Here is a 15,388-nt window from a genome sequence, read left to right on the forward strand (position 1 = left end):
GAGCCCCCAGCTTCTTGGGAATCTGGATGCCATGGCAGCAAATGTTCAATACAAAACAGCGGCCCAGCCGCTCCCCTCCCTGAGAAATGGGGGAGGGGACAAGCCTGGTTGGCTGTCCTTCTCACCCCACAATTCATCTTGGGCTGCTAGGGCTGGAGTACGGAGGGGAGAGGAACACTGGACTGCTTTTGGGTAGATTTTGGTCAATACCCAGTAGCTGGAAGGAGAGCTTCCAACATAACACCAAGGAGACCACGCATCCCAGACTTTGCACGTTCACACCTGGCGCCCCACCATACTGATGAATAGCACTGCCTGGTTATAAAAGTATCCTGGTTGGGATATTATATGGTCCCCTAATACATACACACAAGAGCCTTGAGCCCAAGAACAAAACGGACCTGCATGGATCCCCCGCACAGGCAGCCCCCAAAGCAGAGAAGGCAGGCCTGAAAATCAACCTGAGCCAGAAGGAAATCTGGGCCAAACTGAAAAAAACGCAAACATCAATCAACGTGATTACCACCAGCAAGGAGGGAGGACCAGCCCAAAGGGCACTGGTTCCGGGCACATGAGGACTGCTGGTGACCAAGAGGGAGGCATGAATGGCTTCCCTTAACAGAGGCTCAAGTAGTGGTTCAGGGAGGAGCAAATACTGTGCCCAGGGAGTCACCTGGCCTGGCCCCCTACACCTCCACGGCCATCCATTCCCATTTTATTCATCCTTATGGCTATACCAAGTTCTTTCTGGCATTGAGTGTAAAATTCTACTATGAATCCACCGCCTAGCAGTCCCTGGGGGCAAACCAGAGCAAGGGCGACCGCTTTGTTCACAGGAGTCCCTCCCCACCACCAGTACACCCTAGGTTCCTCATGCACATCCCTCTGATGGAGGTACCCAGCACTGTCTGCCTGTCACCTGCAAGGTGAGGACACGGGCTCTACCTGCTGACACAGCCCAAATCTCAACGCTCCAACCTTGTGCAGTCAAAAAAAAATCCCTTTCAGAGCCTAACTCTCAAGGACACAACCAGCCCAGAAATCTCCCAGGACAGGATCCCACCCACGTCAAAACCAGGCAGCAAAGAGACACCCTTAACAGATCGCCAACGCAGGCCACCCTGAAGTCCGTGCTACCTCCTGAGCACACCACCGTGGGTGCAGATCACTGCTCCTGGTGCCAGGGAGCAGGGATCCCCCAATGCATGATTCGGCAGAGCCTGGAAGTAATGAAGAAATGGCTAATGACAGCCACTGAAGGCACTGTTAAATGGCTTATTACATTTTGTAAAGAAAAATACATCAACATCCATCATTGCAAACACTTTAGTACACAGAAAGCCCTTCAAAATTTCCTTCTTCTAAGTAGAAATAAAGGTTTATACATGTGTATGCCACATAAACATATGCCCCGATATAATAACCTCCGCATGTAACGTCCTCTATATAGAAAGAAGCACAGGTATATGCCTGGCTGGAGAGACAAAGGCGCATTGTCTGGACACAGTCACTCAGTATTACAGAAGTGTGTGCATGCACACACACACTCCCTCAGACCAGATGCCCAACCACTTCCAGATGCTACAGTCTCGGATATCCTTGGTTAAGGAAGAGGAAGAAAAAGCTCGCCCTTCACGTCCAGATACTTGGGTTCGGGTTACATGAAACAGGATTAGTTCAGAAAATCGTGCCACTTCACAGCCAAGACAAAAACCCAAGAATGAAAACCATGTATACAGCCAACACAATAGCAAGACTGAAGACAGTGACAAAGAGAGTTTTCTGGTTCTGCTCTGATGCCTCTCCCTCCACACCACACCTGTGATCTACTGTGCATAGGATCTCACAGGCCCAATAACAGAGCTGGAGTTCCTCTTACGTGACACAGGATTTGGCATTTGCCTGTGCCGGGCTATCACTCCTGCCCTGCAACACGCTGGTCAGCTGGAGAAGCCTGCTGCTCACACACTCACCAGCAACTTCTCTACCCTGGATGGTCACCAAAAAGGAAGAGCAATGTCTGTGCCCCCAGCATTGGTGCAAAGGAAGTGGCAGAGAAGCAACAAGGAGGGTGGTGCCTTGCCCCAACTGCCCGCCAGCACCCACAGCCAAGGCAACTGTTCTCTGGTGAAGGCAGAGCTGGAAATGCATGCCTGAGCCTCCTAACACAGGGTCTTTCCCACCAGTCCATGTCATCTGCCCTTCCCAACAGCTTCCAACAACAGGTCAGTGTGGCTCTTGCTCCCTTTCATGAAAATCACCAGCCACAGACCTGTGCAGGGCTGCAAGGTCACTGGAGGTTATCAAGTCCGAATCATCTTATCTCCCAGATGAGAAACCAGGGCTCAGAAAGGTTGAAGGACTTGCCCAAGGTCGCACAGCTCCTAAGTGAAGGGCTGAGAGTGGATTCCAGGCTGCCTAGCCAAAGCCTGTGAGCCTTCCCCTCAGTTCCAGCTGTTGCTATTAGCTCCCAGGAGGCAAGGGGGGTGGCAAATAGAATAATCAGATACTGGCAACCAAGGAAGGTGGCAGGAGCAGTAGGTGAAAGGACTCCCACATGGCAGTCACAGATACACGCATCAGCCCTGCAGGAGAGGCAGCAACAGTAAGTGAGATGCAAGGAAACTAAAAGTGGAGCAGGGAGCTGCTGGGAGGGGTGGGAGTGTGGAGAGGATGATGTGGGATCTGGAGCCAGGAGACCTGAGTCTAGTCCCAGCCACCTTGAATGCCTCAGCCAGGTCAAGCTGCCCATCTGGCTGCATTGTTTCATCTGTAAATGAAAGGGCTGGGCAGAAGAGATCATCTTTCCAAACCCCCCTGGCCCCAGTCACTAGGGCCTGACTATAGCTTTGGCCCACATTTGCTAGCTATGTGGCCTCTAAGAAGTCACTTCACCTTCCTGTGCCTCCACTCCCTAACCAGAGCCAAGGAAGTGACACGCTCCCAGGGGTCCTTGACAAGAGCTCCAAAAAGGCCACATAAGCCTAAGGCATCCCTCTGTCTGCCCTGGCTTAGGGAGAAAGATAAAAAAAACGGACTTGCTCCCTTGTCCCACAGCCAAAGCTGCCACTCAACAAGGGCCCTGAGAGGGCGTCAAGCGCATCAGAGAGTCAGATTCAGTGCCCACAGGGGACCAGAGGGGACAAGTAAAGTGTGTCACTGCTGGCACTCGGGTCAGGAGGGGAGTAAGCAAACATGCACGCACACACACGCGCGAGCACACACACACGCGTGCGCCTCCTCCCACGCAGCATTGTTCCCCTGTGTCACTGTCAGCAGTTCTGCTGCGCTTGACAACCAGGGCTTCCTAATAGGGCCAGGCTGGACCTGGCAAACACCTGGTCACTTCCCCTCCTGTGGTCCGCAGGGACCATCACCACTGAACACACCACTGCTTGGGGGTGGGGAATGTCCAGGAAAGCTGACCTTGTCCTCAACAAAGCCCTGGGAGCCAGCCAGCTACGTGGGTGTGCCTGGAGACCTTGCATACCCCACAGAATACGGAAAGGATTTTCATAACCTCATAGACTCTCGGGAGAGAAGATGGTCTCCTGCATCCTCCCGCCTCCTCTGCCTATTCCTGGCCATTTGGTGTGCAGAGTCAGGAGAGCAGATGCCTCTCCCATTTATACAGCCATGCTCAGGCTGTAGCTCTGCCCTGGATCCAAACAGGACAGCCATCATCCTGCCAAAAAACACCGTCAGATTTCTCACCACCCCAACCCACCTGACTCTCCGTAAGGCTGCATGGCCTGGTAATTAAAAACTTCAACAGGCCAGGCATGGTGGCCCACGCCTGTAAATCCCAGCACTTTGGGAGGCTGAGGGAACATAGTGAGACCCCGTTTCTACATAACAAAACCAAAATCAAAGAACTCCAAGACAGGCTATCTGGGTTTAAATCCCAGCTCTGCCACGTATAAGCTGTATCATCTTGGGCAACTGACTTACCCTCTCTGTGTCTCAGTTTTCTCATCTGTAAAACAGAGATAATAATGGAGGTGATACATGTAACTGTTTAGAATGGTGCCTGGTACACAGTGAGGGCCATATAAAAGTCAAATGTAGCCAGGCACAGAGCCTTGCACCTGTAATCCCAGCTTCTACGGCAGCTGAGGCAAGAGGATCACCTGAGCCCAGGAGTTTGAGACCAGCCTGGGCAACAAAGCAAGATCCTATCTATATAAAGTATTTTAAAACTAGGCAGGCATGGTGATGTGTTGTCTGCTACTCAGAGACTGAGATGGAAGGATCACTTGAGCCCAGGAGTTTGAGGCTGCAGTGAGTTCTAATCATACCACTGCACTCCAGCTTGGGAGACAGAGCAAGACCCTCTCTCAAAAATAAATAAAATAGGCCTGGCGTGGTGGCTTATGCCCATAATCCCAGCACTTTGGGAGGCCGAGGCGGGCGGATCACGAGGTCAAGCTATTGAGACCATCCTGGCCAACATGGTGAAACCCTGTCTCTACTAAAAATACAAAAATTAGCTGGGCGTGGTGGTGCGTGCCTGTAGTTCCAGCTACTCAGGAGGCTGAGGCAGGAGAATCACTTGAACCCGGGAGGCGGAGGTTGAAGTGAGCTGAGATTGGGCCACTGCACTCCAGCCTGGGCAACAGAGCAAGACTCCCTCTCAATAAATAAATAAATAAATAAATTTCAAAAATAAACAAATAAAATACAAGTCAGATGTTATAAAGACTCTGCCAGCAAGCTAAATGCTGTCATTTCCTTCAGTGTTTCTCCATTCCAAATCTCTACCATCTACGGACCCACTCATTAGCTCCAAATGGCACAGGCTCTGAGTCTGACCTGGATTACAGTTGGTCCCGCCACTTTCTTGCAGTTTAACATTGGTCAAGTAACTTAACCTCTCCAAGCCAGGGTCTCCTCTTCCAAAATAGGAGGATCATATGACCTACCTCAAAGGATGGTTTTAAGAATGGAAGAATAATGCATGTAAAGTACCTAGCTATTAGGATGAATTATTAACAATAACAACATCATCTTTCTCCTTGCGGACATGATACCTGTGCAGTGAGCCTGTATTACTCTCTTTCAGTGATGGCCAACTGCTGCCACACAGAGCCGACTGGCAGCTACATTCAAGGGCCACTTTCTCACTTGCCGTTCAAATGAATCTTCTTCATCCTGTGCCTGTGAAGTTGATTTTTTTGAACCCACATTGTAGGACTTTACATTTATGCCTATTAAATTTCATCCTGTTGTTTTGGACCTGGAAATGGGAATAGGAGGCTGAACTAATAAGCTCTGACTCAAGCAGCACAGAGGCACTGCCCCGGGAAGAGCTGCAACCCCCAGGAAAGGACAAGGGCCTAGAGGAGCCAGGCTCTCAGAACTAAGGTGACAGCCACAGCTGTGAGGGCCTCAGCCAGCTCTGCCCTTTGTTTGCCCAACACCCGGACACAAGAATCAGCTCTTGTTACCAGAATCCCATCAAGAAGGGCAAAGCACTACGCTTTCAAAAATAAAGCCACATGTGCAAACTGTTGTCATAAACATAGCCCTGTTCAAGGCCTCCGCTGCATTCCTCCTTGGAGAGCAATATGTTTCATTTCTTCAACATAAACAGAATCAGATTTATTACATTCCGACAATGTTTCTAGGATGGGGACTGAGAAAGCTGCATTTCTGGGAACAAAAGGCACTTGTGCATAAGTGTGCAAAGAAAAAGGAGACAAGAGACAAAAACCACCTTCCAGACTCTGGGCCCCGGCAACTGTGATCCATGTCAAGAACCCTCATGCAATCTGCCCTGCATGGCTGGCAGAGACAGCAGGAGACAGAGGCTGATTTAAGGCTAGGGCTGAAGATCATGTGTCCGGCCAGACTTACCACAGGCTGCCATGGGCCCCAGAGTTTCACAACATTTAAAGTCTATCTCCCCGGTGCCCAAACACATCGATTCAAGGAAACCTCCCTGAGACCGAGAGGCCCAAAAAGGCGCAAGGCTCATTTCTGCCTGTCCTCAGGAGCCAGGGAGGCACGCACAATCCCGTAAGACAAGCACTCTGATCCCTGGAAGGTGTCAGAGAAACAGCAAGGGGCTGGGTTCTCACTCAAATGGTCAGCTCTTGTCGCTTCTCCCAGGCTGGACAAGGCAGCAACGCAGAGGAATTCCTGGGGAATCCAGGCAGGAAAAGGAAGTAGCTGGGGGAAGGGCAGGAGAAATAAGTCTCGCAAGGGAGGATTAAGAGCAGGAGCCAAGATGATGTCACAGGACAAGCATGGGCACTGGAGCCAGAGAGATGGGCGCCAATTCCAGCTTTACCGCTTCCTGTGTGGCTTCGACCGATTACTTAACCTCTCTGAGCTTCAGCTACTACATCTGCAGAAAGAAGGGAATAAACAGAACCATCTCTAAAGTTCTTCTAGCACTGGCACTCTGGATTCTTAGCCAGGGACTTCTGTACCTCTGATGGGCATAACTTCTTAAACTTCTAACTATCCATTCCAGAAAGACTATAATCCAGTGGGCTATCCTGTTTCCTTTTACCCACTGGGTCTCTGCAGTAAGCAGGGCAAATATGAGATGGGATTAAATGGATGCTGACTAACATGGCCCCCCACGTTGGGGGACTCACCGGAAATCTTCCTGAAGCCCTCAGAGGCCCCAGCCCCCGACTGCCTCTCCTCCTTCCCTCCTTTTCTCCTTCCCTCACAACACTAATTGGGAGGGACTGCATTCAATTCCTGCCCATTCTCGGTGAGCATCCCTGGCTCCCATGCACACGCAGGTGGGGAGGGGAGAGCCAGCACTGTCCAGAGCCTCCCAAGCCCACGGAGCCAATGGGCTCCAAGCAGATGCCCCCAGGCCCTGTACAGATGGGCCTGGTTCAGCAGCTTTTCAAAGTCAACAGAGTAAGGTTTTCAAATCCTAAAAGGCTTCTCAAGCCTCTTCTAATCTGTCTGCCATTTTGTTTTGTCTGCTCAGCGCAAGTCAAGGGGAACTTGACATTTGGAATACTAACTGCAAATAATCCCACACCAAGGACAGGGCTTTGGCGTGCTGCAGCATCAGCATGTGGCTCACAAGGATGCTGGGGACACTCGAGCTATATGCAGAGGGTCCCAGAAGGCACACGTTAGGTCAGGCCCCTCAGCCACGTGCGTGGTAACCACCCTGAATAGCCAGCTCCCCAAGGACAGGGCTGAGCCCAATTCACTGGCTTCCTCAACATCATGCCCAGGGTGTGACAGAGGGGAGGTCCCGCGCAGAATCTACTCTGGATGGAGGAATGCACACAGAGGTGGAGGGGGAAAGCATGTGCAACTGGTATCTTGACAGCTCTCAACGTCAGCCTCTGCCCCAAGCCAACCAAGCAAAGTGCGCTGCCGCAGGTGAGACACACTGCTTCTCTGGGCTTCCGCTGTCTTCTCTTCCTTCCACTTTGTGACAGTTACTGGCTCCCCAGTTGACCTTCACAGTGGAATCGGCCAGCAACCTCTTCACTCTGGCCACACACCTCCACCCACCCCAACGGTTCACAGGGCACACAGGCAGGCCTCATGACCATCCCAGCCTCACACACACTCAGGTGGCACAGTGCATGAGCCAGGCCAGGACCTGGTGTTGCAGAAGCTGGTTTAACCCTTGCTTTGCAATAACCCACCCTGGCCTGCCCTCTCAAGGAAGAGGCGCAGGGATCTTAGGGCAGGCTTTGTGCTGCTGAGGCTGTTCTCGCTCCAGTCTCTGACTTCAAGCAGCAAAAGGTTGGCTGAACCAAAGCATTTTGTTTTCCTCAAGCTTTTTTTTTTTTTTTTTTTTTTTTTTTTTTGAGATGGAGTCTCAGTCTGTTGCCCAGGCTGGAGTGCAGTGGCACCATCTCCGCTCACTGCAACCTCCCTCCGTCTCCCGGGTTCCAGCGATTCCCTTGCCTCATGAGTAGCTGGGACTACAGGCATCCACCACCACACCCGACTAATTTTTGTATTTTTAGTAGAGACAGAGTTTCACCATGTTGGCCAGGCTGGTCTTGAACTCCTGACCTCAGGTGATCACCTGCCTTGGCCTCCCAAAGGGCTGGGATGATAGGCGTGGGCCACCATGCCCGGCCTCCTCAAACTTTTTGAAGACAGTGAGTTTTTTGGGCATAAAAAATAAAATCTGGCTGAGCATGGTGGCTCACGTCTGTAACCCCAAAACTCTGGGAGGCCAAGGCAGGGGGATCACTTGAGCCCAGTAGTTCAAGACCAACCTGGACAACATAATGAGACCCCCATCTCTATCTTTTAATTTATTTTTGAAAAATAATGAGAATAAAGTCCCAGGCCGACTGAGAAATAAAATGAGATATAATGATTGTAACCATCCATGACATCATGTGTGTATATTACACTCAACAGCAACTAAACCGGAAGTGCTTCTCCAGTTTGTGAAGCCAGCTTCTGCACTCACTGCCTGCTCCAGGAAGTTGCCTGTGACTGCCCCTGTGGTCCAGGTGTCCCTCTCCTGTGTTCACAGCCTCGGTGCCCCTACTGCAATGGGGCTGCATAGCCGGCACCTACGGCAGGGCGGGCTGATATGCTTGCCTTGCATATGCTAAAGCGAATGTTTATTTTTCCATTTCCCCAACTAGACTGTAAAATCCTTGAGGGACAATACCTTATTCTACTTTACTTTGCAAATACCTGGGAAAAGATCTAGCATGTATCTCACACTGAAAAACCATCTGTTGAATAAATAACCAAAGTGATGAGCACATGGCTGCCCGCCTATGCTTCCCGCCCTCTCACTCCCGACCCCTAACCCCACTTTCTCCACCCGCTAGAAGCATTCTGAAGAGAATGGAAAATCTCAGCCAACTATTCAGGGTAACTGTCCGGTCACTCTGCGTCCATTTGCCTTTACGGCAATATATATACTAAAGGGTATGAGCTCAAGTTTCCATACATACCCAGGCAGCCAAGGGAGTTCTCTCTTCCCAGCCGAGGCTAAACAGGGACCCAACCACAAGCATCCAGTAATTCTGAATATGACGTGAACAACGTAAAAATAGCTCCTGTATCTCTTTGCCCCCACCCTTCTCCCCAACAACACAAAGGGCAGAAGAGAGTGACACCCCTAACAAACAGCCCCAGCCTCCTACATCTGGACCAGCTGCTGTGAGCCAACAGGGTATTCTAAATTATACTTTAATTACCATAATTTTTCACAGGTACCTGAAACCAGATCATGACGACGGTGCAAGAAATCCCCAAATAGGATGCACGAGGTCCAAGTTAAAGCTAGTCTTCTAAACACACACCTTTTCTCACATGCCTTTTATTTCATGTAGCACTTTACAGTCTGCAGAGTGCTTTCATGGGCCTTCTCTCTCCCACAGGCTCTGGATTAAGACAACATGGTTCAATTCCAGCCTCCAAAGTATCCTGCCCTCTCCAGAGACCCTTCACCTATCACCATTTGGTGCAATCTGTAACAGAAAAAAAAAGAAAAAGAAAAAGAATAGGAAATGGGGGAGAAGGGGGTCTTATCTTATCCCATGGGTTACTAGGAATGTTAAGGATTAAATGGAAAGCATAGTTAAGATTTTTAAAGAGAAAGCACTTATTGAGGATAATTGATGCTGGACAGATAGCAGATTCTTGGCAGACACACATTCTCAGTGTGGATGTGTCTATACAGCTAATGGTTAGAAGCGTGAGCTCTGAAATTAATCTGCTTAGATTTGAATCCTGTCTGCAACATTTTAGCTATGGGGCCTTGGGCCTCAGTTTCATCAACCAGAAAACAGGAATGATAGCAGTAATTACTTCACAGGCTCTTGCGGAGTTCATGAAATAAATGCGAGTAAAATACTAGCCTAGCCCTAGCACATAGTAACCACTAAAAAAAAAAACATCATTGCAGGAGAGGGGAATCTCTAGTGCCTTAAGAAAGGGGAAAGATCAGCCGGGCATGGTGGCTCACACCTATAATCCTAGCACTTTGGGAGGCTGAGGCAGGTAGTTCACCTGAGGTCAGGAGTTCGAGACCAGCCTGGCCAAGATGGCGAAACCCCATCTCTACTAAAAATACAAAAATTAGCCGGGCATGTTGGCGGGCGCCTGTAATTCCAGCTACTTGGGAGGCTGAGGGTAGGAGAATTGCTTGAACCAAAGGGGCGGAGGTTGCAGTGAGCTGAGATCGTGCCACTTCACTCCAGCACGGGCAAAAAAGCAAAACTCCATCAAAGAAAGAAAGAAAAGAAAGAACGAAAGGGGAAAGGCGGAAAGGTCAAACATAAACTTCAGCATCATATACTAATGCTGGAAGGGAGGGTGGGGTAGGAGCAGGACCCCATGCTTCTCTGGCTCTACTTCTTTCTTAACACACCTTTCTTCCCCCACCTAGAGGATAAGCGCCTTCAAGGAAGGCATTTGCTTTTTGGTAAGCTCTCAGGTCCCTGACATGTGACTTGGCATAAAACTTTGGTTCAGTCAATATTTACAAAATTAATTGAACAAATTAATTTTATCTCTCTTGCCTCTGTGCATTCCAGATATCAAAAAGAAACACCCTGCACAAAGAAAGTCCTCTAAAGGTAGCTTGTCTCTTTTCGGCTGCAGTAATATTTGCAAAGGGAGTCGGTATCCCCGCATATGCCAAAGTGCCAACCCACCAATGTGGTGTTTGCTGCCATTGAGAGCCAGAGGTGCTTCCTTGTAGAGGCTCAGGGGTTCTGCTCTCCAGAGATGTGAGCAGCTTCAAGCCCACCCATCTCCCCAAGTTGTGGGCATATGCCTGTCCAGGGGTGGCAGGGAGGGAGGGACAAAAGGGCCAAGTGGCTCCCGTGAAACCCCAAAAGCAAGTCCACGCACAGCAAGGAGAAATGAGTACACACTTTATTTTTAGCCACGCATGATGGAAAGTTACTCTGGGAATGGTGCAAATTTTGCTTCATCACCCTCGGTACCTTTCCAGGATCCTCAGTGGCTTCCCAGGGAAATGACTGATAAGGGGACAAAGGAATTTCTGAGGTTCTTTCAGAGGTGGAGAGGCAGGAGACAGAAACGACGTAAAACAAGGTTGGGGAGAAAAAATGGACTCCATGAACACCCAGGACACTCCCATACCAGCCCAGAGGGCTGCAGGCTCCTACAAGTAGGTACAGCCCCACTGGCTAAGAGGAGGCAGAAGGTCCCCACCAGAGCCAATCCAAGAAACAAGGCTGTCATTCCACTCCACCCTGCTGGAAAGCAGGGCAGTGGAAAGAACCAGGCTATGGAATCAGGAACATCTGAATTTCAATCCCACCTCTGCTGTGTTTTGAGACCAGCAACTTAAGTTCCTCAAGCCTCCATTCCCTCCTCTGTAAATCGGTGCTGCCAAACTGAGTCGCTCTCCAGGCCAGTGAAACAATGTCTGCATAGTAAGCCGGCTGGCACCTGGTGCTGGATTAACTCTCTTTCCGCAATTAAACTGAGGCTCAAGTAGAGGTCTCCCAAGGCCCTACTGTTGTGTGGTCTTGGCAAAGTGCTTTCTGTTCTCTAGGCTCCACGTCTTTCCACCTACCAAGACAACATGTTGGCAGAGACCTTTCAAGGTCCCTGCCTGTTCTGGGATGCTGCTAAGCACCCTGGCCTTGTGGACTGCTGGCCAGACGTCTCCCCTTTAATGTGTTGGGGGCTCCACTCTGAAGCCATATCCTGACCTCACAGTGGGCCCATACCTTGAGAAACCTTAAAAAATTACAGTGATTTCTGATTATAATGTTTATTTCCTTGCCTTCACCCAAACTGCATCCATGGGCCAAAGAGAATAGATGCCGACCTGCCATCCATTCATTCCACAAGGATTTACTGAGCTCCCATGGTAGTAAGTGCTGTGCTGGGCAAGGATGACCAAGGGCAAAAGTGAACAGGACAGTAAAGAGGATAGCCCAGTCCTTACCTTCCCAGAGCTTAATTGCTACCTGCCGTAAAATATGTTAATTCCTTTATTATGGTTGTGGAGGAAACATGTACCCTAAAACTTAAAGTATAATGATTGAAAAAAAAAAAAAGAAGTCCTGGGAGCCAAGTGGGTACATGACAGGAGGCCTGACCCAGCCAGCGGGCCGGACAGGGTCCCTAGGAAGTACCCTGTAGGCTGAGGTCTGAAAAATGAGCAGGTACTAACCTGGAGAGCAGGGAGAGAGAGAGGGGGAGAGAAGCACCTTCCACGCAGAAGGAACAGCATGTGCAAAGGCCAGTACCTGGCACTTCTGAGAAACCAAAAGAAGCCCAATGTGGCTGGAGGGCAAAGAGGGAGGAGGCTGGAGGGCAAAGTTGTCCAAGTCAGGGCTACGAAGGCAGGCTTTCAAAATGCGGACTGACACCACACTGTGTAAGGCCACGCGCAGAGGGATTTCCTGGAATGTCTGGATCTGGGCAAAGTTTCCCTGCGGAGAGCACCAGGAGAGGTACTGATGGCCCAAGGCACAGGAAAGCAGCGCAGCCCAGGCTGCAGAGTCCAGGCATCCAGGTCTGGAACTGGAAGGTACTTCGCAAAGTGCCCTCCTCAAATGCCCTTTCCATTTTCCAAAGGGTTTGCTCCACTCCTGCCCCCACGCCCACTTGTTTCACTTCTTATTTTTATTTGTTTTTAAACCAGGGCCTTCTTACGGTCAGGTTAATGCATTTTTAAAAAGAAAGCCCTGAATGTGTGGCCCTCCCTCCCTGGGAGGAGATGGGTGGATCAATAGCCCTCTTAGCTCTTCCTCTACCACCAGCAGTGACCAGAGCAGTGGGTGGGGCCAGGGCAGGTGTGGGCTCTCTGCAAAGTGGGCCTGAGAGCCAGGCATTTATGCCTTCCCTCCCCACCCCCTCCCATTCCCAGGCAAGGCCTCCCACACCCTGTCCTTCACCACCTACCGTGGTAAAGCCCAGGAACAAAAGGGACAGACTGGGGGAAGGCAGAGAACACTGGGCAATCTAAAAACCCAAGTTCAATCTCTGCTGCTCAGCCTCTTAGCAGCCTTGAAACCTTGGACAAGAAAGAAGCTAACCTCCCTGAACCTCAGTATTCTTAAGTAAAACGTGGGGATCTGTGTAAAAATTATGTGAGGTCATGCGGAAAGGCACCTGGCACACCCTGGGCAGGACCCTTCCCCGAGTCTCCCACACCCCAGCCCTCTGGATCCACTCTGTTATCACAGACCCTTCTGCTGCCTCCCCTCCCAGTGAGCTGACACGCTTTGAGCTTCCTCAAGGGAAAACGCTCCCCGATGCCGACAGATGGGGAGTCCTAAAATACAGCGTATGGATCATGTTTCGTGACTAGCAAAACACGCCAGCCGGGACACTTTGAGAACCCGGCCGGTTTTCAGGAACAGGATTTTACACATTTCCCAGGATTGGCGGATCTGCGCTCGCCTCCACCCGCCTGCGAGCTCCATAGCCCGGATCCTGTACCAGGGGGATACTTAGGACAGGTGGGGGGAAGAGGGGAGGCTGTGCCCTAACCCTCTGCCGCTTTTCATATTGCTACTACCATTTATGTATTGAACACGTGATACATTCCTCGCTGCGTGTCAGGTGTTTGGCATGTGTTCTGAAGCCACCCTGCCTAGGTCCCCATCCTGGATCTAACTGTACGGCCCTGGACAAGTCACTTCATCTCTCTGAGCTTCACTTTGCTCATCTGTGAACAGGGGTGGTAGTACCTTCCCCTCATGGGGCCAGGGTGGGGACTGGGTGAACAACATCAGAGCTCAGTAGACATGAACTGCTGCTATAATCAAACCACACGGTGACTATCACTGTAGCTATCCTACTGAAGGTAAAACGGACACTAAGAGGCCATGCCAGCTGTCCAGGCCACCCAGTGGCAGGGGAGCAGGTCTGCCTCTGAAGGGGATCAGGGATGGGCTTCAGAGGGTTTGCAAACCCCAACCCCTGGCCTTATGGCGCACAATTATTTGAATACATGTGAATGTGCAGTGTTCAGAGAGGAGGGCAATGAATTTCAGTCTCCCAGGTATCTACGGCCCCATAAAGGTTACAAACCATGGCTTCATATAACTATATCTACTTGACACACATAAGGTCACCCTGGCACAGCAGTCCTGAACTCTAGGATCTGGAGCAAGGATTACACCCCACCCCGTCTACCCAAAGGAAAGACATTGGTTCTTGGCAACATCAATCACAAAAAGCTTTGGACCAGGAGAAGGGGCTAGGAGAGCCACTAGCAGGGAAGTGTGTTAACACAGGTTCCGGAATTTTAGAAGAGGACATGCAACTCAAGAAACTGAGGAAGAGTAGTCTGTACTTCCATGGGATCCAAGAAGACCCGAAGGAGAAAAAGAAGAGATGGTGGGAAGCTCAGTACCTGGCAACTGAGGTAGCACCTGGGGGTGCGGGGCATGATGGCCAAGAGGTGCCCCTGATTAGACACCTGGGCTCAGTCACTCCAGTGGACTGACATTACCCTACTGGACTTGAGCTTGTAAGGGCAGAGAAACGTTGAGGAAAAAAAAAGTCACACCAAGACATGAATCAGGATATGAACAATATTAATCTTTGAGAAGTGGAATTACCAGAGTTTTGTTTACGTTTATTATCTAATTTCCTTCACAGTGAACATATATCATATACATCCACTGGAAAGAAGACACAAAACCAATCTACTTACAAAGACAGCTATGCACTGCACACAGTCTTGGCATAATAAATACTTGTGCTTCTGCCCAAAGTAGGCTCTTGAAGCCCCCTTTTGAGAATGAATGATTCAAGCCACTCCCAGAAAAGGTATCATTTTGGGAATAGAGAATGGGGTGATTCGAATATGTTCAAGACACTTCTGTGGGTGATTCATTTAGGGGCATAAAGATGGGCTCTGCTTCCCCGTGATGACTGCTGGGGCAGCTAATCCCATCACCTCTTAACACACTCGGTGTCGTCAGTACAGGCAAGGCCTTGTAAAGAGAGGAAAGAATTGGGGGAAACATCCGATCAATCTTTTTTTCTGTTTTTGTGGGTGGGAAGAAAGGAGCAAAGAGATGAGAGATAGCAACAGAGAACAGGTTCTCAGGTTGGGTGGTTCACACTTGTAATCCCAATGCTTTGGGAGGCCAAAGCAGGAGGATCACTTCAGCTCAGGAGTTCGAGACCAGCCTAGGCAATACAGCAAGACATTGTCTCAAATTAAAAAGAAAGAAATTAACACAACAAGGTCTCCCACTGCTTGAGCGCGTCGCTGGCAGACAGTGCCCATTAGTCCACGTGCGTACAGCTGTAAATTGCATTTGGTGCGTGTGGTTTTTCCTCACAGCACTGAGGAGACGTATAATTCAGACTTCCTATTTATATTACACTTGTTTCCTCCAATACAATGGCTACAAATGCTTTCTACTCCACTCCTGTCATCTGTGCGGAAATTCTCCTGATACACGGGGAGACT

The 15,388-nt window shown here is 50.0% G+C and overlaps 1 protein-coding gene across 17 annotated transcripts in view, besides 3 other annotated features; it reads right to left on the reverse strand.

Annotated features, from left to right (window-relative positions):
• Positions 1-15,388, reverse strand: part of SSBP3 (single stranded DNA binding protein 3) — a 188,059-nt gene that overhangs the window by 104,285 nt on the left and 68,386 nt on the right. The window contains exon 5 of one of the 17 annotated variants that reach the window (NM_001394367.1): positions 9,270-9,437. The exons of 15 other annotated variants lie outside the window; for them this stretch is intronic. The gene's annotated coding sequence lies outside the window, so the exon portion shown is untranslated. Of the gene's footprint in view, positions 1-6,080; positions 6,165-9,269; positions 9,438-15,388 lie in introns of those variants that run through there. One more of the 17 variants, XM_017000898.3, reaches the window with a different exon arrangement.
• Positions 2,105-2,642: an enhancer, noted in NCBI's record as "H3K27ac-H3K4me1 hESC enhancer chr1:54797494-54798031 (GRCh37/hg19 assembly coordinates)". NCBI's record gives its function as "activates a minimal SCP1, AML or CMV promoter by ChIP-STARR-seq in primed H9 embryonic stem cells {active_cell/tissue: H9 hESC(primed)}" and the evidence as "EXISTENCE:reporter gene assay evidence [ECO:0000049][PMID:30033119]".
• Positions 7,314-7,937: an enhancer, noted in NCBI's record as "H3K4me1 hESC enhancer chr1:54802703-54803326 (GRCh37/hg19 assembly coordinates)". NCBI's record gives its function as "activates a minimal SCP1, AML or CMV promoter by ChIP-STARR-seq in naive H9 embryonic stem cells {active_cell/tissue: H9 hESC(naive)}" and the evidence as "EXISTENCE:reporter gene assay evidence [ECO:0000049][PMID:30033119]".
• Positions 13,315-13,836: an enhancer, noted in NCBI's record as "H3K27ac-H3K4me1 hESC enhancer chr1:54808704-54809225 (GRCh37/hg19 assembly coordinates)". NCBI's record gives its function as "activates a minimal SCP1, AML or CMV promoter by ChIP-STARR-seq in naive and primed H9 embryonic stem cells {active_cell/tissue: H9 hESC(naive and primed)}" and the evidence as "EXISTENCE:reporter gene assay evidence [ECO:0000049][PMID:30033119]".

Source organism: Homo sapiens, chromosome 1 (assembly GCF_000001405.40).
Source record: "Homo sapiens chromosome 1, GRCh38.p14 Primary Assembly".
NCBI lineage: Eukaryota > Metazoa > Chordata > Mammalia > Primates > Hominidae > Homo > Homo sapiens.